General features: G+C 35.3%; 1 protein-coding gene and 1 long non-coding RNA gene across 8 annotated transcripts in view; both read right to left on the minus strand.

Annotated features, from left to right (window-relative positions):
- The window catches only part of TTLL7 (tubulin tyrosine ligase like 7), a 134,109-nt gene that overhangs the window by 94,049 nt on the left and 14,719 nt on the right, over positions 1-25,341 (minus strand). The gene's annotated exons all lie outside the window — the stretch shown is intronic.
- TTLL7-IT1 (TTLL7 intronic transcript 1) lies at positions 20,046-25,228 on the minus strand. Its single transcript, NR_046841.1, has 2 exons — positions 24,760-25,228; positions 20,046-22,497 (listed from the first exon to the last, which is right to left on the minus strand). It is a non-coding gene; the product is annotated as a TTLL7 intronic transcript 1 (long non-coding RNA).

The following is a 25,341-nucleotide window of genomic DNA, read 5'->3' on the forward strand; positions in this document are numbered from 1 at the left end:
ATTAATGTCTAAAGAGTTCCATGAGTCAAAAAATAAAATAGGTTTGGAAATGCTGAACTTGAGCATCAGTATCATCTGCAAACTTCTTAGAAATGCATATTCTCAGGCCCAACCCCAGAACTTCTGAATCAGAAATATAGAGGTGAGGCCCATCAATTAACAAGTCCTCCAAGTGAATCTGATGCAGGCTAAAGCTCTGAGAACCACTGCACTAGAAGGCCAACAGCTGGTGGCCAGGGCAGATCCAGGAAAGTGGGAGAACACCACTGCTGGAGTCTATTCCCTCCTATTGGTCTTTTGAAGCACAGCAATGTGGGTGACTTAGAAATCACCTGGCCAAGTAATGACTGGAGGAGAAAGCATTTGCCCAGCAGGACTCTCACTTTTTTTTCATAATCTGCTTTGGAAAGCATCTGGAAAAGAAGAAGTTTGCTACAAAAGATCTCACTTGCTACTGCCAACAGCTCTGGTAAGTGGGATGAAGTTTGCTAATCTAGACAGTTTACCCCCCTTGTTTGACCCCAAACCAGCTACCGATGCTCACTAACCAACACACTCATTTTGTAGAAAAGAAATCCACCAAAAATAATTAAACTTATAAGGATTAACAACAACCACAAAGATTAATAATACAACCTCTATGGATAGTAAAAAAATTGTAGAGGGAAGGGAAAGGAGGAATGCAAATCAACACCAACAAGGGAGTGAAGACACTGCAATACACTCATACAATGAAAATACTATACATCAGTGATACATGCTGCATCACAAAATGAAGATTTAAAACAGCTGATGAATACATACAGTATATTATTTACATAAAGTTTAAAATTATACAAAATAATATATTTCTTATAAATTATGAAATAAGCATATAAAGAAATACATAGGAATGATAAACACCAAGTCTGATACCCCTTGAGAGGAAGGATGATGCAATAGGCAGTTCTACAGAGAGTGAGCACCTGTGTTCTTATGCAAAGAATGTAATTCTTAATATAAAGAATAAATACGCAATTATCATGGTTTAGGCATTTGAAATAAGAGGTAGAAATGAAATAACCACAATACTTTTGCTTGAATCATTATGTGTCTTTTTGTAAGTATTGTGATATAAATCATACTGCTGAAACTTAGGTCTGATCCTGACTCATAAGCAATGTGAAGTCACTGAAGGACTCTAAGAGGAGTAATATAATCCAGATTTATTTTTGATAGATTACACTGGCAGTTATTGTGGGGGCAGTAGTGGAGACAATCTTAAGAGGATATTACAAAAGTCCAAGAGAGAGAAGATAAGAGCTTGATTACAGATAAAAGCAACAGACATAAGGAGACAGAATTCTGCTATTGCAGTATTAGCAGAATAGCAGCAGGACTTGGTGACTGATAAGGAAAATGTAATCCTGGATGATTTTGCAGATTTCTAGCTTAAAGAATTGGGTAGAAGATGGCACAATTCATCAAGAGAAGGCTTGCAGACAGAAGAGCCAGTTTGAGGGGTGAGATTATTTCAGCTTTGTATTTGCAATAAGGGTGGATGAAAATAAACAGAAAATAAGACAATAGAATTAGTGGAGATAAGAGATAAGGGAATCCTCTACTTTTATAGGTAAAATGGTGTTAATTAAACACAAAGGTCCCTTCCAAAGCATAACTGCTCCTATTTCTGTCCTTTCTGCCAAGAAAGGACAATAGGTTTCAAAATGCACAGCTGCATGACTGGTATACAAATGACATCACCCAAACAACTCTCATAACAATAAAACATTGCCACCACTCATTGTGTGTACAAATTGAAAGGGTATTTAGAGAAGCTACTTACTCCTTGAACATAGTAACTTTTGTCTCCCTTTCCCTGGCTGGGCCCATTACCCAAAGCTGGATCTGTCCTGTGTTCTAGACCTGAAAGAACCATTTGATCAACTACTTCTAAAAACCTGATAACAGCCAAGTATGATATTATGTAAGAATAAACACAAGAACTATTTATTCATTCTAGTAACAATCTTGACCTTGAGCAACAGTAACTCCCACTAATGCACTTAATACTTATTTATTGTTCCAATTGGCTGTAGCCTATTCCCAGAGCCTGGAACATAGGAGTTAAACTGCTGAGCTACCATATCAGGGAAATATAGTTCTCTGGAAGGTTTTTTTGAATTTAAAATAAAAAAATTTCAACTGTGCTAATTTCTAGAATCAAACAAATTTGTCACAATTTTCAAATCCCTCTAAATTAAATTTAATCCCATAAAAATTAAGCCATGGTCCAAGAATTATGCAAAGTTGGGAAAAGCCATATGGAAAAAGGCAAATGTATAGTATGTGTAATTAGAGCAACCACACAAATGTCTACAAAACTCTGTGGCCTGTCTAGTCTTTGGAATTTAGCCTATTATGACATGAAAAAGCAGGAACTGATAAACGGGTAATGATAACACAGCATACCTTCAAGGCATTTTCTCTTATTAATATTTGTATTTCCAGTACCGAGGATAATGAAAAAGGAGAAAATCTTACTCAATAAGTGGTGAATTAAATAAAGTTCAAAGCAAATAACAGCTATAACTCGGTTACTAAGGTGACAGAAGACAAGGTTATTTCATAACATATTCATCAAGCACTTAAGTAGAATCAAAAGCCTCTTTGGGCATATTTCTCCTACAACATAATATTTCAGTTTTAAGTAGTTCTCCAGTAGCCTAAAACTCTTATTTGCTCCCTATGAATAATATGTGACGTAATCAGTTAACTTTTGCATATCTCACTCACATTTGTCAATCCATTTACCTCTCCCATTTCCTGACCCTGCAAAGAACTATACCAAACCTAAGAGAGTTGAACTTCATATCCCCAAAACACCCAACCTGTGCTTGACTATGCAAAGACTTCTCTTGTTCTGAGCTGTGGAGTTGAAACTTAGGGTCTGTTGTACTTAAGTCTCCTGAGATTTCAATAACTTTGATCACAAGGTTTAAAAGAGAGGGACTAGGGGAAGCAGAGAATTTCTAAAATAGTCAGTTCATTCTTTGCCAAAAAATGCACAATAGCTATCAAAATGTGCAGCTGCTTAGCTGGTGAACAAATGACATCACCCAAATGTCATCTGATGCCAGCATTTATAGTTTTTAGTGTCCAAAACTTAACTCTTTAACTTTCCCTGAAAACTTGATATTCCTCTTATGTTCCATATCTTGGTAAAGGGTATCACTAATAGCCAAACATCTAAGAGATAGATACATCAGAATCATCTTTAACTTTTCCTTTGACCTCTTACTTTGACACTTTTTCAATGCACACCTTATTGCCCTTCTTGCCAATTTTACGGTTTGTATTAGTTTACTATTTATATTTCCATCTACTTTTATGTCTTAAATCTTAAATATGTAACATTCACTGAATTCTTAAATAAACCTCCTATGGCATCCATATTACTTAAAAATTTAACAAGTAACAAAGACAACTAGCTCCTTACCTAACAGCCATTCACTAGTTCTTCCTTACTAATAAAACACCTATTCCATTGTTATTATTAGTGGTAGCATTGTGCCTACTAAGTAACTACATTTCCCAGACTTCCTTACAGGTATACGTGGCCTGGCCAGTGAAGTGTAAGCAGAAGTTGTTGAGCAGGACTTCCTAGTAAAACACCTCTAAAGGGAAGTAGACAATCAGTGGACACTCATTTGCTTCTCTTCCTTCCAACCTGGAATGCAAACGTGATGGCAGGAGTTGTAGCAATCCAGTGTGACATTGGTTGTGCTCCATTAGTTTTGGACCACCTAGCTCCAGAGAAAGTAAACCTCCATCTTGTTTAAGCCAATGTTATTTGAAATTTCTGTCACCAACAGCTAAATGCATCTCCTAATGGACAACGCTTCTCTAATAAAAATTATTATTTTGGTTTCTAAAAAACATACATAGCCTAAACACAAAGTCAATGGCACAATGACTTTGGACATTTATCATTTTTGCCATAGCCTGCTTTTACCTATTTTCTTGTAACCATAATCTGAATTTCCTCCAGTGAAGCACTACTTCCTCATTCTCAAAGCATAAGCTTTAGGTGGAGTTGATGCCAATCCCAGCTCCAAGGATGCGTACATGACTTAGAACTAAACAATCATGGGATCCCATCCTCTTGACCATGGAATTGGTTCAGAGATGAACACAGGATCCAACTAATGCCAGTGAGAATCAGGCTCAGTACTCATTTTCAGAATCTGGAAGAAGACAGGTTCTTTTGTGAGCTGTGTTTGAACCTGAGAGGATACACTACCTGCAGTTGCTGGTCCCCATCCTTCCTCTACACACAGCCTGTGGATGAAGTCAACATGAAGGAGGCAGAGCAGAAAGAGAGATAACAGATTCCTAAACTTTTCAGTAATACAAACTAAAAAAAAAAAAATTCATGTTTTTTGCTTAAACCAGGTTCCTATCCAAAACAAATAAGGAACTTAGATTCCATTTTTTATTTTAAAATAAAGAAAATTACTTCAAAATTTCCTTGCATAAAATGCCACAACTCACGTGAAATAAGAGCAGGTTTCCTTACATGTTTCCTCCATGAGACAACTGGCTGCTAGGTAGCAGCTTTTAAAGTGTCTTTTAATTTACATATTCTCCAATCTCAAACACACAGCCTGGAACACATGAGCTAAACTGCTGAGCTACTATATCAGGGGAATACAGTTCTCTAGAGGTTTTTTAATTTAAAATAATAAAACTGCAATTGTACTAATTTCTACAATCAGGCAGAATTTGTCACAGTTTTCAAATCCCACTAAATTAAATTAAATCCCAGAAAAATTAAGTTATGGTACAAGAATCATGCAAGTTTAGAAAATCCATATGGAAAAAAGCAAATGTACAGGCCTAGTTCATAAAATGTTCTGTATACCTTCCCTCAGTTGTGTGTATAACCAAAGATTTTAAGGAGGGAAGGAATAATAAGGTTATTTTGCTTTTAGATTATTAAACTAGCTACAGAGTTAATTTCTTTGGAAAGAAACAAAATACTAATAGACTTTACGTGAAGGCCCTCTCCAAAGAAAACTAATTAAATTCAACTATATTTTAATAACTTTAGCTCACTTTAAAATAAGAATCTTTTCCAAACCCCACTCCAAATCTTTGAAAACAGTGTATCTATCTGGCACCACAATCTTTGCCATGAAACCAGTCCTTTTATAGAAATGCAGAGGAAAAGAACTATTTTTGTCCTTCATTCTAACAAACAATCATGGAATGCAGAATAGAATTGGTGCCTGAAGTTAACCATTGCACAATAATATAATCTCTATAGATACTCTCAAATGTCCAAATTTGTTTTTTCACTCATTCTTTCTTCTCTTGACCTCTACCTTCCCTTCTCACAGAGTAAACACTGTAGAAATGTATCACCAATCTGTTTAAACTTTAATTATTGTTTCATTATTTTATTCTATATCTTGTTAAGGCAGTAAACTTGTTTTTAATGCTCATCATCTTATTGGGTGTTCCAGCAAGAAAAAAAGTATGCCTCCTGGCTTCAACGTATACATTTTTCTTTCAGAGAAGTTCAGAGCTTTTCTTTCAGAGAAGTTCAGAGCTTTGCAGCTTTCAGAGCTTCACAGCTCCAAAATTACCTGAAATCTAATAATTCATCTAAAACATACTGACACTGATCATATCAATGAGAGATACATTCAAGAATGACAGTTGACCCTAGGTATTGATAAAATTATACATGTAACCATATACCCACAGCATGCATCTTAGTTTTATAAATTGAATATTATACTAAATCAACAAAGCTGATTTTCAGTTGTGCCTCATGGGATTTAAATTTACTATTTTTTAATCCTACCTAGTATTCAAAATTATCCATATATGCAAGTCTTACTAGAAAAAAAATGTGCATTCTTTAGAACAATCTTAATCAATGGACCACAAAATTGTTATCTATTTCTGCCTTGAACTGGCTTTGGTGAGCATGCCACGTTGCTGGAACTCATAGATTATTCTGAAAGAGGTCATCAATCTCTCCCCAGTCAATCTATTTTTTTTTAAAATAGACTTGCTTATATTAAGAACATTAAAAAGATGAATCTTACAACAATATTGATGTGGTTTGGTTCTGTGTTCCCACCCAAATCTCATCTCAAATTTTAATCCCCATAATCCCCACGTGTCAAGGGAGGGACCTGGTGGGAGGTGACTGTATCATGGGGGCAGTTTCTCCACACTTGTTCTTGTGATAGTGAGTGAGTTCTCACGAAATCTGATGGTTTTATAAGTGTTTAGAAGTTCCTCCTTTGTTCTTCTGTCTCTTCTGCCACCTTGCGAAGAAGGTGCCTGCTTCCCCTGCCACCATGATTGCAAGTTTCCCGAGGCCTCCCAAGCCATGCAGAACTGTGAGTCAGTTAAACCTCCTTTGTTTATAAATTACCCAGTCTTGGGTAGTATCCTTACAGCAGTGTGAAAATACGCTAAAACTTGGTATTATAATACTTGGTATGCAACTTTAAATGCTCTCTGTAACTACAGTATTGTTTTTTGCCTTATTTGATTATTTAAATATTTCATTTGAATATCTTCTTTAAACAACTAAAATATAAGCTTCTTGAAGGGAATATACAGTGTATACATTCTGCATTCTCTACAGCGCAGGCATTGTGCTCTGCATTTATAAGTCCCCAATTATTATTTATTTAAATTATTAAATATTTCAAACTCTTCTTTCTCATCAGCAGATCTGACTTCTACATCATGCACATCCCCAAAGATCTAGAGTCTGACAACTGAAACTTTCCACCTGCTAATCAGTAGGTAGTAATTGGTGAGAATGCTAACATCATTTAGGAAGCTCAAAATGATGTCTATGGCAAATCAAGATTTGCTATCACATAATTAAGATTATGAATAAAGGTAAATTCATTGTGATGATTACTGTTATGTGTCAACTTGGCTAGGCCACAGTACTCAGATATTTGTTCAAATACCAGTCTGGATGTTGCTTTGAAGATACTTTGTAGACGAAATTAACATTTAAATCAGTAAACTTTGACAAAAGCAGATGACTCTCCATAAATAATGTGGGTACGCCTCATTCAATCAGTTAAGAGAATGCAGACTGAAGACCCACATGAAAGAGAGGATTCTGCCTCACACCATCTTTTGGCTCAAGCTGCAACATCAGTTCTTCCCTGGGTCTCCAGGCTGCTAGACTACTCTGCAGATTTTTGACTTGCCAGCCTCTACAGTTGCATGAGCCAATTCCTCTCTCCCTCCCTCCTCCTTCCCTCTGTCTCTCTGTCTCTCTATCTCCCCCCAACCCCTCTCCATATATATAATTGATTCTGTTTCTATGAATAACCCCGACTAATACATTCATTATTCCATAGGATCAGCTACATTTCATGAAACTATAAACCTGATTTAAAATACTCTATGAGGCAAGAAGGTTCTGGAGGAAATGATATACCAACCTAAATATAACCACGGCCTAAACTAAGCATGCCAGATCATTATGAAAAGAAGGAAATGGATGAAGACAGTTGTATAAAGAATAATTTACAGTATTTAGAATAGAAGTAAGGAAATGGGTAGAAAATAGAGATTGTCCATAATCACCATCATATTTCTTTGGTTCTATCCATACTGTTTTTTTAACATTTAAAAACCTATAAAATTGTGATTATCTTATAATCACTGTCAAGTGGTTAGTCCTGACACCATTATCACTGCTGTACATACACATCAAAATTTGCAGAATCCATGTCAGAAGCTGAAAGAAAAACCCAGAAAATAGTGAAACACCCTTTTAAGAAATGTGGCATCAACTCTTGATGGCCAGAGAATGATGTTGTGTGGAAAAACATAGACAATGAGGGCTGAATCAAGAAGAGATTCAGAGGAGTCTGTCTTCCAATGTGAAGAAGTTTACAGAATGCCTTAATGAATTTATTTTACTTAAATTTTCCCTCTTTTGTATGGATGAAAGTAATGCAATATTTTTTAAACTACCTTTAAAGGGTTCTTTCAACATGTATAAAATAAAATGGTACTTACTACTAAGAAAGCACTGTTGCATAGTTGAATTTGAAGAGGTTTTTTTAAGTAAATAAAATAATGGTGTGTCTTATAACAAACAGGATCTTAGATGTGATTTTTAAAAAAGAAGTTAATTGGCTATCAAAATTTCTGGAGTGCAACAAAATTTCTAAGGACAACAACAACCACCTTTTGCCAACTATGCCAACAGTTCTCAAACTTGAATGTGCACAAGAATTTCCTGGAGAATATTACTAGACCCCATCTCCAACTTCTGGTTCAAGGCAGCACAATTCATTCAGACCTCATCTTTGGTCAGGGCTGAGAATCTTCATGTGCTTTGACTGGGAAGGATTAGCTCAGGGGGAAAGGGCTGAACCTGCAGAAGGAGGACACAGTGTCTGCAGCTGCACTGTGGTAGGGGATGCAGTGACTGACTCAGGAATGAGCTAATTCCAAATCCAGTTCTAATATCAACAATCTGCATGGTAACTGCACAAGGCACTAAGGTTCCCAATTATTAACCTGAAAAAAGAGAAAGTGGAACTAAGACCCCTTTTCACTCTAAAATTCTAAAATTTTTGGCCCCGTAAAAATAGTATAATTTAGTTGTTCATAATCTAGATAGGTTTTCTAACTCAAGCCCTCACTCAAAATATAACTTTTAACATTCCAGTTAAAACTGGATCCAAAATGGCAAAATTTCCAAAACGCTGGAATGAGGAGTTCAGCAATTCTTCTCAAAAAACAAAGATAAAACAGCAAAAAAAAAGAGTCAAGAATAATAATTTCATGACTCTTGAAAATGACGAAAGGCATACAAGAAAGGAAGACACTTTTATTCAAGAAAAACTATTGAACCTGGGGTAAGAACAGTCGGGATGGCATTTTAACCTGCAGCCGTTCCCACACACCACCACCCTCCAGCTCCATTGGTGCAGTAGTTCTACCACAGTTGGCAAGGTATGAAAACCAGCAACTTTGCTGTGGGAGGAGACTGACTTAATTTGGAGCAAAGTGTGAAATGCACCATACCCATGGGCTTATAAAAACAATAACAAACTCAGTGGCAAATAATAGTGGATGGCCAATATCACAGCTGCCTGTTGTTGTGATACTGGGCCATAATATTATTGGACAAAAAACAAATGGAGTCATGAGTACCAGCTCTCCATCTCACCTAATCCAAAAATGAGGTTGCCTGCCATCTTTTCTGCTCTCCTTATTCATAACCTCAATTACTGACCCACCAAGAAGATAAGAACTGTACAATGGGAAACAAAGGCAAAGAAATTATATCTAAATTCATGTTTTGAGTAGACACATTACTTTGGCTAACTAGAAGTATATTTACCTTCTGATTCTCACTTGGGTTCCAGTTAGATGAAACTAAAACAGCTAAATTCCAAGCTGAAGAGATTTAATTACAAAGCATAATAGAAAAAAATATATGTGTTGGAAGACTCAAAGTCACCTAGGATACTGACCTGGAAAACTGTCATTTCTCTTGGTCTCTTTTAACATTGAGACTAGGAAACTGAGGTATCTTTCTCAGCTCATGAGTTCCTTGTTATTATTCCTACATGGAGTACTCATCTTATACTGTCAAGGAAAAATGAGAAGCCGACTTCATGATCTAAATCTGTATTATTGTCAAATAGAATTTTCCTTCACCAAAGGTGGTGGTAACTTTTAAGGATATCAATAATAAGCATTAAAGTTGTCTAGAGAAGTCTCCCTTCAATATAAAGTTGAAATAAATTCCATGTTCTCAGAATGAGAACATTCTTACTTATCACAATGGGAAATAAGAAAACTATACACAAAACTGTAATTTTCCCTTGAATACAGAAATTTCTTCTGAACATAGTAGGTACTCCATAAGTATTTCTCAAATGAAATTAATAGTTTTAAATAATAGCTGCAAAAAACTACTCAATTTCATTTACAGTTATTTTCTCAAACATGATATTATTAGCAATGTGTCAAGAACACCATCTGATGATATTCAATGTCAGTATTTTGTGGTTACATTACTTTTCTCAAGTTTACTTTTGGTAAAGTGACCATGTAGGTAATAGAGTAATTTGGTAAAAAAAAAAATTCAGATTTCCAGAGAGAATACAGGTAGACTAGAATAGGCTACTCATGATGGACAATGGTAAGTTTCTCAGTTTACTCTCTCAATTATATTGATTCCAATCAGTGTTACATTACTAAACTTAAAATGTTATTTACAACTAATATCTCATATATCATAAAATTAGATATCACTTTTGTATATATAAATCATCACTTTAAGAAGAACTCACTGACTTTAATATTATTAAATTACAAAACTGAGTAGAATAAATTACTCAAGTCAAACTCAAAGCAATTTATTAGTCTCCTTCTTTGAAGGTGGCCTATAATGTTTGTCTCTCTAGACCATCACTAAAGGGGAACACTCTGGAAAACAATTAGAAAGTATAACAAAAGTCTAAATTATACAAAGTGTTTATGCTTTTGATTTGTTAATTCCACTTAGGAATCAATCCTGATAAAATTGTCTAAAATGTTGAAGCACATTTGTGAAGAAGAATGTATGTCAAGCCATTATTAATAATACCTGTAACTGAAAACAACCTAAAAGTATCCAATAATGAAATTACATAAATTATGATATAGCCAAACAATGGATAATTAAATGGTCATTAAAATTGAAAATGAAGATCTTTCACTGGTATGGGAAGATGTAATTATTTGAACAAGGATAAGAATGATTCATAATAAATGAAATGATATGTATTTTACCATGAAAGAATGAATGATAAAGTTGAAGATTTGCTTTAATTTACTAAGCCTAAACAAATATGCCTAAATTAGGATATTATATTCACTGTCTACCTGCTTCACATGTCACAATTTGTTTTTTGAAAATTCAGGATGTTTTAAAGCAATGATGAAAAGAATCAATTATGAATCATACACCAGGATAAATTTTACTATACATTATTGATAAATCTTAAAATAATCTATAGGATTGGCTACTTCCAAAAGACCCTGATTCCTAATTAGTACACAAGGATTATGATTGTGAATTACATTTTGTGTTTATTTTAGTACTTAGAATATTTGCTAAACTACCTCTGAGGTTAACACTTCCAGAGTAAATAAAAATGTAAACTAACTGATTCCAGATTCCAGGAATTCAAGCCAAGACTGAGATCATTATGTGAAAATAGCTAGCAGTGAAGTTACAGTACAGGTTATATTTGTATGAGGTGCTATTCACACCCAAATGAGAGAAAATTAGGAACATACAGTACACACTGAATTCATTTAAAATATTTTCCCCTTAGAAATGAACAGAAAGAAAGCACACAGACAAAATCCTAGAATCTTTTTTCCTAATCAGTGTGGAAGCAGTTGGTTTTTCAAGTTCTGATTTCAATTTGGACACGTCAGGTTTGAGATATCAACAGCATGTCCAAGTAGAAAGTCCAAGAAGTACTTGAAAATTAAAAGATAATTGCTAATTAAGAAAATAAGATGTAGTTTTTCTCCTGTCTACCTTTTAATTGAGGGTGTTATCCAAGAGCTCTTAGTTTGAGGCCCCCAGAAATAAACCTTGATATGAGGATTCAAATAAAAGTAGTTTATTTTGGGAAGTGCTAGAAATACTGGCAGGGGAGCAGGGAAGCAAGACAGAGTAGGAAAAGCAGCCAATAAAGGGTGTATGATAATGACAGCTTCATGGTGGGTGGCAAGAGCTTAATCCCCTAGGAAAGTCTGGGAACCAGTGTAAAACACACAGCTTCAGAGTTAACCCAACTAGGGTCAACCAGCAGTTGAAGGCTGCTGTGGGTGTGAGGGTGAGTACTAATTCCATGGCAATTCCTGCTCTTCTGGGAGGGGGAAGGGAATGTAGGGAGGACGCCTGGAAAAGCAAAGGCCTGCAGACTCAAGGCTCCCAGAAGAGTTCTTGAAAGCCTTCAAGCAAAGAAATGCAGATACTAACACACAGTTGGAAACACAGCATAATGAAGTAAGATACAAGGGATATGGGCAGGACATTGAAGGCATCTACTCAACACTTATCCCTAAATTATATTATTTGTGCCCAAGACTTCAACTATCATTTACCTGATGATAGATCCATTGAGATGTGGCCTTTAAATTCAGCCAACACAGCCTGCCATGGTCCAACTATTATATAAACACATATTAAGTATTAGCACTGATTCTTAGCAAGGCCTAAGATCTAGTTTCTATGTGGAGGATTTAGGAATTAAAATCTGTTTGGTGGATGTAATTAAATGCTTTGATAAGGCACAGCAAGTACACTATAGTTGATTATATTGTTCATCTGTTGTACTTGCATAGTAGGTATTCCATATTTACTCAGTTTTTTTGGAGTGATTTTGATAGAGTTGTTGGAGAATGATCCATACATGGTTCACATCCCCAGGATGCCACTCAGTTTCCTACTGCTGGAATCTTTCACTCACGGTTAACTCTACTGCACTTGCTGGAGTTTGCTAGCCTCTTGGTTCTGTACTCCATCATTGATCACTTTTGAACCCAGTAGTTTTGCAGGTCATTCAGACTTACCTTCTAGTTCTTGGCACATAATTCTTGGTTCTCCTTGCTTCTAACGTTTTGATGCCTCTGTTATTGCTAGTAATAAACTCCCCACTTCAGTCTCCCTGTCCTGTAAAAACAGTCCTAGCCATCTTAATAATAGAATGTAAGACAAAGAAGAATATTGGGAAGAAGGGATTTAGATCATCTATCTCCAGTTCCTAACTGTTTTCAGAGCCTAGGGCCAAAGATTTTTCATATTGATTTATTTAAATACTTAATTTTTAAGAGCAGTTATAAATTCACAGAAAAATTAAGAGGAAGGTACAGAGATTTCCTCTGTACCCCTCCCTGCCACATACACACATACCCTCCCCCATTATCAACATCCACCACCAGAGTGATACATTTTTAACAACTGACAAACCTACATTGATATATCATAATTACTGACATAGTTTACATAGGGTTTACATTGGGGTTCACTCAGTGTTGTACATTCTATGGGTTTGGACCAATGTATCCATCATTACAATATCCAAAAGATTATCTTCAGTGCCTTAAACATTATCTGTACTCTGTCTGTTCATCCTTCCCCATTCCCTCCCAACCCCTGGCAACCACTGATCTTTTTCCTATCTCCACAGTTTTGTCTTTTCTAGAATGTCATATGGTTGGAATCATACAATATGTAGCCTTATCAGATTGGCTTCTTTCACACAGTAATATGCATTTAAGGTTCCATGTCTTTCTATGACTTAATAGCTCATTTCTTTTCAGTGCTAGATAATATTCCGTTGTCTGGATATATCCATTCATCTGCTGACGTACATCTTGGTTGCTTCCAGGTTTTGGCAATTATGAATAAAGCTGCTATAAACATCCATATGCAGGTCTGGGGTAGACATTAAGTTTTCAACTCCTCTGGGTAAATACCAAGGAATGTGATAGCTGGATCACATGGTATGAACTGCTAAACTGTCTTCCAAAGTATCTGTGCCATTTTTCATTCCTGCCAGCAATGAATGAGAGCTCTTCTTTCTCCGTATCCTCATCAGTACTTGGTGTTGTGAGTGTTTTGGATTTTGGCCATTCCAAGACGTACGTAGTGGCATCTCATTCTTGTTTTAACTTTCATTTCCCTAATGACATAGATGCGGAGCTCTTTTTATATGCTTATTGCCATCTCTATATATCTTCTTTAGTGAGATATCTGTTAAGGTCTTTGGCCCATTGTTTGAGTTGTTTGTTTTCTTATTGTTGAGTTTTAAGAGTTCTTTGTATATTCTGGATAATAGTCCTTTGTCAGATGTGTCTTTTGCAAATATTTTCTCCCAGTATATGACCTGTCTTCTCATTCTCTTGACTCTGTTTTTCACAGAATGTAAGTTTTTAATTTTAATGAAGTCCAGCTTATCAATAATTTCTTTCATGGATCATGCCTTTGGTGTTATAGTTAAAATGTCATTGCCATACCCAAGATCATCTAAGTTTTCTCCTACATTATTTTCTAGGAGTTTTATACTTTTGCATTGTACATTTAGCTATTTGGTCTGCTTTGAGTTAATTTTTGTGAAGAGTGTAAAGCCTGTGTATAAATTCATCTTTTTGCATGTGATGTCTAGTTGTTCCAGCATGATTTGTTGAAAAGATATGTTTGCTCCATTGTATTGCCTTTGCATCATTGTCAAAGATCAGCTCATTATATTTATGTGGTTCTATTTCCAAGCTCTCTATTTTGTCCTATTGATCTATTTGTCTATTCTTTTGCCAATACCATACTGTTTCAATTGTTGTAGTTTTATAGTAAGTCTTAAAGTTGGGTAGTGTCTGTCCTCCAACTTTGTTCTTCTCCTTCGATATTGTGTTGGCTCTTCTGGGTCTCTTGCCTTTCCATAAAAATTTTAGAATCAGTTTGTCAATATCCACAAAACAAATTGCTGAAATTTTGGGAATGCAATGAATCTATAGATCAAGTTGAGAATAATGGAGATCTTGACAATGTTGAGCCTTCCTATAACTGAACTTGGAATATATCTCCATTTATTTAGTTCTTTGATTTTGCTCATCAGAGTTTTTGTAGTTTTCCTTATATAGATCTTATACATATTCTGTATGACTTCATTTACACGAGGTTAAAAAGCAGGCAAGACTAAATCTAAAGTGAAAAAGTTAGAATAAAGGTTACCTCTGGGCAGGATGAGGGATAATTATTTGGGAAGAGTCATGAGGGAGACTTCTGGGGTGCTGGAAATGTTCTCTATCTTGACCAGGGTTATGCTTATACAAGCATATGCCTAAGTAAAAATCCATCAGGCTGGATCCTGAAGATTTTTGCGGTTCACTCTATATATGTTTTACCTCAAATTTTTTTACTAACTCATTTACATTTAAGAGCATAGGTATCCTACAAATGTTTTAATAATTGAATAGGTCAAAAGAAAAAACACAAAAGAAAAAGCAAATAAACAGGCATTTCACCTAAACAAAGCTGATGTAGCAATTTATAAATCCATTTCATGGGCACGGGAAAAATGTTATTTGAATGCATACTAAGTATTACGAACACATATATCTATGAAAAAATGAATGCTTTTTCAGTGCCATTATAGAAGCTGTCATTGAAAACTAGGAAGCAAACCAAAGACTACGACAAAATTAGTAAATTCTTATTTAAGTGCAAAGTAAATGAATGGGTTATATATTAAAATAAATCATTCTTTAAAATGTTCTTTTTAAAGCCATTATTATGAAAAAATCATATTGAAAAATAATCACAATACATTTTCTAAGCCCAAAATCCAAAACGATAACAATTAACAAAAAGTATACCAGCAGACTACTAAATGTATCTACTTAATACAATGAAAAATATGGATCTTGTTAATAAACATAAGGTATTGTCTTCATGCCATTAAGCCTAACAAATTTGGGTGTCAAGTGAATTATAATATGGCAGACGCTATTTGTTGGTTAATGTTCACTTTTTGGTACCATACAGAAAACATATTAGACATGATCTACTACATAATATCAATACATCCCTGCTAAAATTAGTATCGTTACATGTTTTTATCTTTGTCAAATTGACCTATTTATCTTTGAAGTATTTATCTTTGTCAAATTGACCTATTATACCTACCCATAAGTCATTATCTAAGGTTTAAATTTTCAATCTAAAAATTTTTTTAAGTTTACAATCTCTATTCTGGAGGCCAATTCCATAATTCACTGAAATAGTTACATATGTAACTTAGCTCCTGATGATAAAAAATAACCATTTTCCTCTGTAATAAGCAGTGCTCTCTCTTTTTATCTCAACCATATGCTAATTCATTACTTGACAGAATAACAAGGCACACATTTTCTGCATGATATGAAAAGTGCTCTGCACAGTGCCTATTACATAGTGAGCATTATAAAAATGCTAGCTATACATTAGTTGATATTTATTCAAGGGAACAAGACATGTATCAAATATCTACCATGTTACATACATTGCACTATAGGCTTTACAACCAGGCATTTCAATATAGACTGCACAAAAGGAGCTTTAAGAAATACTGATACCTGGCTCCCAGCCCCAAACTTTCTAAGCTAATGGGTCTGGAGTGCAGCCTTGACACAGGGATTTGTTAAAGCTCCTCAAGTGATTTAAATTTGCAGTCAAGTTCGAGACCCACTGTTTAAACAGATGTGTGATTTCATTTACTCCTCACATATTGCTTTATTAGTTCTATTTTACAGATGAGAAAACTGAGACTCAAAGGGGTTTAGGAACTTGTCAAAGACTTAGACAGATCTGTTTGATTCTCAGAACCTTTGTAAACAGATGTGTTATTTCATTTAGTCCTCACAGATTGCTTTATTAGCTCTATTTTACAGATGAGAAAACTGAGACTCAAAGGGGTTTGGTAACTTGTCAAAGACTTAAGACAGGTCTGTTTGATTCTCAAAACCTTTGTGCCATAGCATGTCGCTTTTTGAATGGCAAATATGCCAGTCATCAGTCTGTTTCCAACCATCTTGAAACCGTGCTGAAAAAGAGCCAATTAGTTACTTTGCAAATCTGCATATTTCAAAGGGGCCTCCCCATATATTCTAATGTTCTTTTTAGTACAGATGTAGTAAAAACGTAGTATTCTAATGTACTTTCTACTACAGATTTTTGTTTCTGTTTCATATTTAAATACAGACCATAACCTCTAGAGGATCATGAAATCAATTTGGTGAGTCTCAATAAGCATTTTATTTGAAATAATAGAATAGAATACATGAGAATATTACAGTGCCAGAGTGCACAGCATGTAGTAAGAAATGTATTAACTCTAAGTACTGTGTCCTGAAATTTTGTCTCTCTCTGTGTGTGTGTGTGTGTGTGTGTGTGTGTGTGTGTGTGTGTGTCTGTGTGTGTACTATGTCAAGAAGTAAATTGTATTTCTTACCATGGATTGCAACCAAAGTAAGTCTGAAAGATATTCGAACTAGAGATTAAAATCACAAGATAAAAAGACAATCCAGAAATGTTATTCATTTTCTAACTTACATATACTTACTTGTGTTTTTATCTTATCTTGGATTGTCTTCCTTCTGTAGCCATCATCAACCCAGCCTAGCTCTCCCCTCCCTTCCTTCTCTACAAGGTAGAATTAACTGTCCTTCAGTGTATTACCAATCTTAAAAACTCATTATATCATATATTTTAAAGTGTTTGCTTCAAATTTTTTATTGGAAAGGGCAGTGTCTCTCATTCTGAGCAAAACAAACAAAACAGAGAGTTTGATACAAAATGGAGTTTAGTTTTTTTCACTAGGTACAGCAACTCTTCAGTATTCATGAAATTTTTGTGATATGAAATATAAATTATTAATAATGAACTGCATCTTTCATCTTTTTAAATAATTGCAAATTCCCACTAGAGTTACTTTAATAGCTGAGTGATCCATGCCTAGTCCCAACAATACTCTTCTCTGCAAAGATGACATCAAAGGAGAAGGAAGACAAACTTTGAAAGTAGCTTTACTGGATTAGCCAATGTTTTATACCAGCCTATTCTCTTACCCATTTCAATACTAAATAGACTGTTCCATTTCCTGTTTCCCTACTTGCTCTTAATTCCACAGACATTATTGAACACTGAAATAAAATACACTAAATCAGTTGTGGCTTGTTTCCATTTCATGAATGGTAATGGAAAAAAATTTTTACAAAAAAAAAATGTTAATCAAAAGGAAACAACCACTGATTCTCTCTTAACATTAACTTAACTCCATCAAACCCTTTTTATTACCTATGTTCGTCTATATTAAGCCATTTTATTGTGTCTTTCCCATTTCTTAATTTTATTGAAATACCGGGACTTTTGATTATTCAAAAAATATTTATTTAAAAATAAATAGTATATATACATATATAGCTTTGATACCTTATATTGCTGATGAGGCAAAAGTTCTGTATTATCACAGTGATCTGAATAATTAAGACACTTGATATCATCGACTGCATCTAGTAAATACTAGTCAGTATGTAAACAATATATAAATTTCAGTAACACAGAACTAAAATTTACTTAGCATTAGAAGAAAGTAATTTAAAATTAGAGTAGGATAGAAATGAGAATTAAACTTTGGAGAATTCCGGAGACCATATACACTGCTCCATAAAATCTATTTTAGGAATCCAGGTGAAACAATTCAGCCAGTCTTTCTGGAATGTTAACCTTCAATATTTCTAGTTACAAGTTTATGCAATCTTAAAACATGGAGGAAAAAAAAAATCACATACCTTTTTTTTGTTTCAAATTGTGGGCCTAAATCAAATGACTTTATGATGTTTTACTTTATGCAGCCTGACTTAACACTATGGGCCCAGCTATTAGAGTCAAAAGCCAGCCATGAGTTGACTGGCAGACATCTCTAATTCATCTCAGGAAGAGACAGGCTGCAGCATCCACAATTCTGATGATGTCCAAAGTAGGTAAAGAATTGGTCATATGCCAAGTATTTCCCCTTGGAACACAAACAGAAGGGCTGGAGGTGGAAAAAACTCATAGCATGCTACTATTTAAATTTAAATTTAAATTTAGCTCTTTTGGGCTAGAAAATGGGGTGTAGTGGGGGTAGTGTAAAAGCAATAATTTGGAAAGTCATATTGTGACTGCAAGATCCGACAATGTAGGTATGGTTTTAGAATAGAACAATGTTTTCCTTATTTGTTTAATGTTATTAACAAGAGTTATGTGACTATTTCATCTAAATATTTAGTTTGTACTTTGAGTATAATTATCTCCGGGTAGCCTATAACAAAACAATGAATTTCCTATTTTCCTCATTTTAGTCCATTAGGTTTTTTTAATAAGAATTTCTTTTAATTTTCAATTTTTGTAGGTACATAGTAGACATATATATTTATGGGATAAAAATTAGGTTTTATATATCATCTATCTCACCTACCAAATGTAAAGCTAAACATCATAGAGTTAAAATAATAACTCATCCATTATGGAATCTAAGGCAGCTGCTGAGGTAGACCATCAGGATAAAAATGATGCAGACACCAGTCAGGAAGGGAGATTGAGTTACAAATGTGCCCGAGGGAATATATGAACTGATGAAGCTTTTCTTTCTCAGCTTCCCAATCCTTTTTAGCTAGCTCCTCACAAACAGATGAGAAACCACTAATTAGAGGAAACAGCCTAACCAAGGGACCCTTAACCAGAACCCTATCCAAAGCTCAAATGAGACAGATAAATTATAGTCAGTTAAAAAAAAGAATTATTCATTTTAATCATCCTCTAGAATGGCATACTGGAGATTTTACATATTGAAAAGAATGATCTTTGTCAAACATCATAGTCATCTAGTTTTTCTATGAAAAACTACAAATCTCAACCATGAAAGGATGATTTAAAATAGGTGGCAAAAATTATTAATATTTTAATATCTTTGTAACTGATTTTTATAACTCATTTATTAAAAATTAGTTTAAATCAGAATTATATCAGAAGGCTTTCAAAAAAGGAAGAGGTACTTTGGCACTTGGAAAAGGAGAAGTAAATGAGAATGATAGCAGAGCATATAGTTAAAACCCTGAAATTCTAGTCTAGCAATGATTAAAATGGAAATGTCTAACATAAAAGACATTTGACTGTTATTATCAAATTAGTTGCTTACAATTTCAAAATAGTTATGGAGCGTGAGATAAATAAACTTGACTCTGAACTGATTCTTAATTTATTCATTAATTCAACACATATTAAAAGTACCTAAAAGCCTGAAAAGCTTATGACCATGACTCCTCCCCACTGAATTAGTTTGGACAGGAAGGATCTAGGCCCTTCTCTTGTGAGCTCTCAGAAGCAGAGAGGAGACCATGCTTAGCTTCAGCAGCCCGCAAATGTAATCACCCAACGTTACACAAACAACCAGTTCACGAAGACCATGGTATTGCATTAAGTAAAGTTTAATTAACGGGAGGCCAGCCACACAGAAGACAGAGCTATCACTCAAATCAGTCTCTCTGAAGCCTCAGAGATTAGGGTTTTTCAAGAATAGTTTAGTAGGCAAGGGGCTAGGGAATGAGGAATGTTGACTGACTGGGGATGAAATCATAGCGGTGTGGAAAATGTTCCTTGTGTGCTGAGTCTGCCTCCGGGTGGAGGCCACAGGACCAGTTGAGTCAGGAGTCGAGGGTCCAGGTGGAGTCACCCAACAGTCAGAAATGCAGAAGTCTGAAAAACATCTCAAAAGGCCAATCTTAGGTTCTAGAGTAGGGATTTTAGAGAAATAATTGGGTAAGTCACAAATCTTTTAATATCCGGATCAATGGCTGGTTGTTGTTTAACTACACCTACATTTTAGCACAATGCAGGCCCCTCTCATAATCCTAACCTTGCAGTCTTTCATTAGTTTTAAAAAGACAGTTTAATTTGGGAAAGAACTATTATCATCCTTGCTTTAAGGTTAAACTATAAACTAAATTCCATCCAAAATTAGCTTGGCCTACACCTAGGAATGATCAAAGATAGCTTGGAAGTTAGAAGCAAAATGGAGTCAACTATGTCAGAGTTCTCTTACTCTCATAATTTTGCAAAGGGGCTTCACAAACACCACAGTGAATCTAAGTACTCTTGGGGTAATCCCGAGAAGGCTTTTGATGGTGCGAAAAATGTATGGGGCTTGCAGGACTTGCTTATGGCAAATTTTCAAAGGATTACTAATGAAAACAAAATCAACTCTAAAAAAGACTCGAAAGATTTTTTAAAATCAAATACGCATCATGTTCTTCTGATAGCTGACTTTAAAAGACCACTAAGGTATCAAGCCAATCTTCTGGAATGCTTGTGCAATTACTACAAATTAATTTTACACTTCTGTTCAACTAAAACATATATGTAAAGGCTAGGGCTTAATTCATCTTTTAGTGAGTGAGAATTTACCAAATCCCAACAATCTTGTCTTCTCTTTCCCTTAACAGAATTCACTGTCAAAAGAATATTCTAGAGGAAAAATTTTGGTCTGAAGAAAAAAAAAATTACACTTCCCTCTAGTAAAAATGGAGGTGGTAGTCTTGCCTATTATATTTGTGCATAAGACTGCTGGCTGAGACAGGCATTTGGAGCCACATTCTCCAAATGTGGCTGAAGCACAGAGGCACAATCATAGCTCACTGCCGCCTTGAACTCCTGGGCTCAAGGAATCCTCCCACCTCAACTTCCCAAGTAGCTGGGACTACAGGCGCACACCACCATGGGCCTGGCTAATTTTTAATTTTTTTCTGTAGAAACAGGATCTTGCCATCTTGGCCAGGCTTTTCTCTTTCAAGTGCTGAAAGAAAGTAACTGTTAATCCCATTTCCTGTATCTGGCCAAACCATCATTCAGGAATGAGGAGTGAAAAAAGACATTCTGGACAAAGGAAAACTAAGAAAATTTGATACTACCAGATGTCCCATGAAAGAATGGCTTCAGGAAGCTCTCTTAACACAAAGAAAATGATAAATCTGAGATCTTCAGAAAGGAAAGAATAATAACAGAATTGGGAAAAATACAAGTACACATAACAGACTATTGCTAACATACAATTCTTTAATAATATTTTATGGAAAAAGCAACCATCTCTTCTGTTACTCAAAGTATGTATGGGAAATACTTAAAACAATTATAATTAAAAAGAAGAGAGGGTAAAAGGACCTAAATGGAAGTAAAGTTTTCTATACTTAATTCAAAGTTGAAAAATGTAAAAAAGTAAGCTATGATAAACTAAGTATGTATAAAGTAATACCAGGGGAACCACTAAGAAAAATAGTAATACCTAGGCCAACCACTAAGAAAACTATACGAAGCTATATGTTTCAAAAACTTATAAATAAATAAAAATGCAGCTCTAAAAAATATCCAAGTAATCCACAGAAAGGCAAGAAAAAGAAATAGAAAAATGAGAAAGAAAGGAAATAAAAAATGAGGAAAAAAGCAGACTTGATATATCAACAACTACACACATAAATGGTACAGACACATCATTTAAAAGAGAGATTGGCACAGTAAATTTTAAAATGCAACCCAACTATACATATCTATAAAAACTTCTTTTCACACATAATGACATATATAGATTGAAAATAAAACTATGGAAAAAGATATATCATGCAAGTATTTATTTTTAAAAAGCAGAAGTGGCTATAACAATATCAGATAAAATAAATTTCAAAGCAAAAAAAAATCACTAGAGCCAAGGAGGGCTACTGCAAAATTATAAAAAGCTCAATCCACCAAGAAGATATAACAATAATAAGTGTATATCCACCAAACAAGATGGCTTCAAAATACACAAGGCAAAAACTAATAGATCTGAAAAGCTTAAAAATCAACAAAGGTAGGCCAGGTGCCGTGGCTCATGCCTGTAATCCCGGCACTTTGGGAGGCCGAGGCGGGCAGATCATGAGGTCAGGAGATCGAGACCATCCTGGCTAACACGGTGAAACCCCGTCTCCACTGAAAAATAGCAAAAAAATTAGCCAGGCATGGTGGCGGGCGCCTGTAGTCCCCGCTACTCAGGAGGCTGAGGCAGGAGAATGGTGTGAACCCGGGGGCGGAGCTTTCAGTGAGCCAAGATCGCACCACTGCACTCCAGCCTGGGCGACAGAGCGAGACTCTGTCACAAAAAAAAAAAAAAAATCAACGAAGTTAGCTGGGGATTTCAATACCCCATTCTCAGCAATTAATAGATTACTAAATTAAAAATCAGCAAGGATACAGGAAAACTGAACAATACCATCAACCAGTAGGCTATGATTGACATTAGACATTCTACTCAAGAATTTCTCAAGTGCCCATACAGCACTCACCAAGATGCACCATATCACAGCTCATAAAACATGTCTTAGCATATTTAAAAGAATTTAAACCATACAGAGTATGTTATCTGACTAGATTGAATTAAACTAGAAACCAATAACAGAAACAGCAGCAAAATCTTCAAACACTTGGAATTAAACAATACATTTCTAAATAGTCCATGAATCATATTTTTTTGAAACCACATAGAACTGAGTAAAAGTGAAAAGAAAACATAACAGAATCTGTCAAATGCAGCTAAAGCCAGGCTGAGAAGGAAATTTAGACACCTAAATGCTTACATTAGAAAAGAGAAACACTCTCAAATTAATAATCTAAGTTCCTATTTCAAGAAATTGCAAGAGGGAGAAAAAAAATCCAAAGTAGACAGAAAAAAAACTTATATAAATATAAGAAATCAATGAAACTGAAAACAGGAAAACAACAGTGAAAATAAATGAAACAAAAAAGAGTCTTCAGTAGCTTTTCTATACACCAATATTGTTCTAGCTGATAGCTAAATCAACAACACAATCCCATTTACAATAGCCACACACAAAAAAAATGATATGTACAAATATATCTAGCAAAAGAACTGAAAGATCGCTACAGGGAGAACTATGAAACACTGCTGAAAGAAATCGGAGATAACACAAAAATGGAAAAATATTCCATGCCCTTGGATTGAAAGAATCAGAATCATTTAAATGGCCACACTGCCCAAAGTAACTTGTAGATTCAATGCTATTCCTATCAAAATACCAATGTTATTTTTCACAGAAGTAGAAAAAAACTATTTGAAAATTCATATAGAACCAAAAAAGAGCCCTGATAGCCCAAACAATCCTAAGCAAAAAGGACAAAGCTGGAGGCATCACATTACCAGACTTCAAACTGTACAAGGCTGCAGTAAACAAAATAGCATGGTAATGGTAGAAAAACAAATACAAAGACCAATGGAACAGAACAGAGAACACAGAAATAAAGCCGCATAGCGACACCTCTCTGATCTTTGACAAAGTCGACAAAAATAAGCAATAAGGGGCCAGGCAATAAGGGCTCACACCTGTAATCCCAGCAGTTTGGGAGGCAAAAGCAGGTGGAGCAGTTGAGGTCAGGAGTTCGAGACTAGTCTGGGCAACATGGTGAAACCCCATCTCTACTAAAAATACAAAACGTAACTGGGCATGGTGGCGCACACTGTAGTCCCAGCTACTCGAGAGGCTGAGGCATGAGAATCCCTTGAACCCAGGAGGCGGAGGCTGCAGTGAGCCGAGATCACGCCACTGCACTCCAGACTGGTGACAGAACGAGACTCTGTCTCAAAAACAAATAAATAAATAAATAAGCAATAAGAAAAAGACTGTCTATTCAATAAATGACACTGGAATAACTGGCTAGCCACATGCAGAAGCAAGAAACTGGACAAACTACCTCTCACCACAAGCAAAAATTAACTCAAGATGGATTAAAGATTTAAATGTAACCCCTCAAACTATAAAAATCCTAGAAGAAAACCTAGGAAATACCCTTCCTAGCAAACACTGGCTTTGACAAAGAGTTTATGGCTAAGTGCCCAAATGCAACTGCAACAATAACAAAAATTGACAAGTGGGATCTCATCAAACTAAAGAGCTTTTGTACAGCAAAAGAAACTATCAACAGAGTAAACAGACAACCTACAGAATGGGAGAAAATATTTGCAAACCATGTATCTGACAAAGCTATAATATCCAGAATCTGAAAGGAACTTAAATAGCTGAAAAATCAAAAAACAAATAATTTTGTTAAAAAATGGGCAAAAGGCTGAGTGCAGTGGCTCACACCTGTGATCTTGCAATTTGGAAGGCCGACGCAGGAAGAGAGCTGGAGCCCAGAGTTTGAGACCGGCCAGGGCAATATAATGAGACTTCATCTCTACAAACTATAAACAAAATTAGCTGAGTATGGTGGTGTGCACCTTTAGTCCTAGCTACTCAGGAGGCTGAGATAGAAGGACTGCTTCAGCCCAGGAGGTCAAGGCTACAGTGAGCCAAGATTGTGCCACTACACTCCACCCTGGGTGACAGAGTGAGACCCTGTTTCAAAAAAAAAATGGGCAAAAGACATGAACAGACACTTCTCAAAAGAAGATGGACAAGTGGCCAACAAACATGAAAAAATGCTCAACATCACTAATCATCAGAGAAATGCAAATCAAAACCACAATGAGATACCATCTCGCATCAGTCAGAATGGCAACTAACAAAAAGTCAAAAACCAACAGATGCCAGCAAGGCTGCAGAGAAAAGAGAACACTTATACACTGCTGGTGGGAATGTGAATTAGTTCAGTCACTGTGGAAGGCAGTTTGGAGATTTCTCAAAATAACTTAAAACAGAACTACCATTCATCCCAGCAATCCCATT

This window comes from Homo sapiens, chromosome 1 (genome assembly GCF_000001405.40).
Source record: "Homo sapiens chromosome 1, GRCh38.p14 Primary Assembly".
In the NCBI taxonomy this organism is placed as follows: Eukaryota; Metazoa; Chordata; class Mammalia; order Primates; family Hominidae; genus Homo; species Homo sapiens.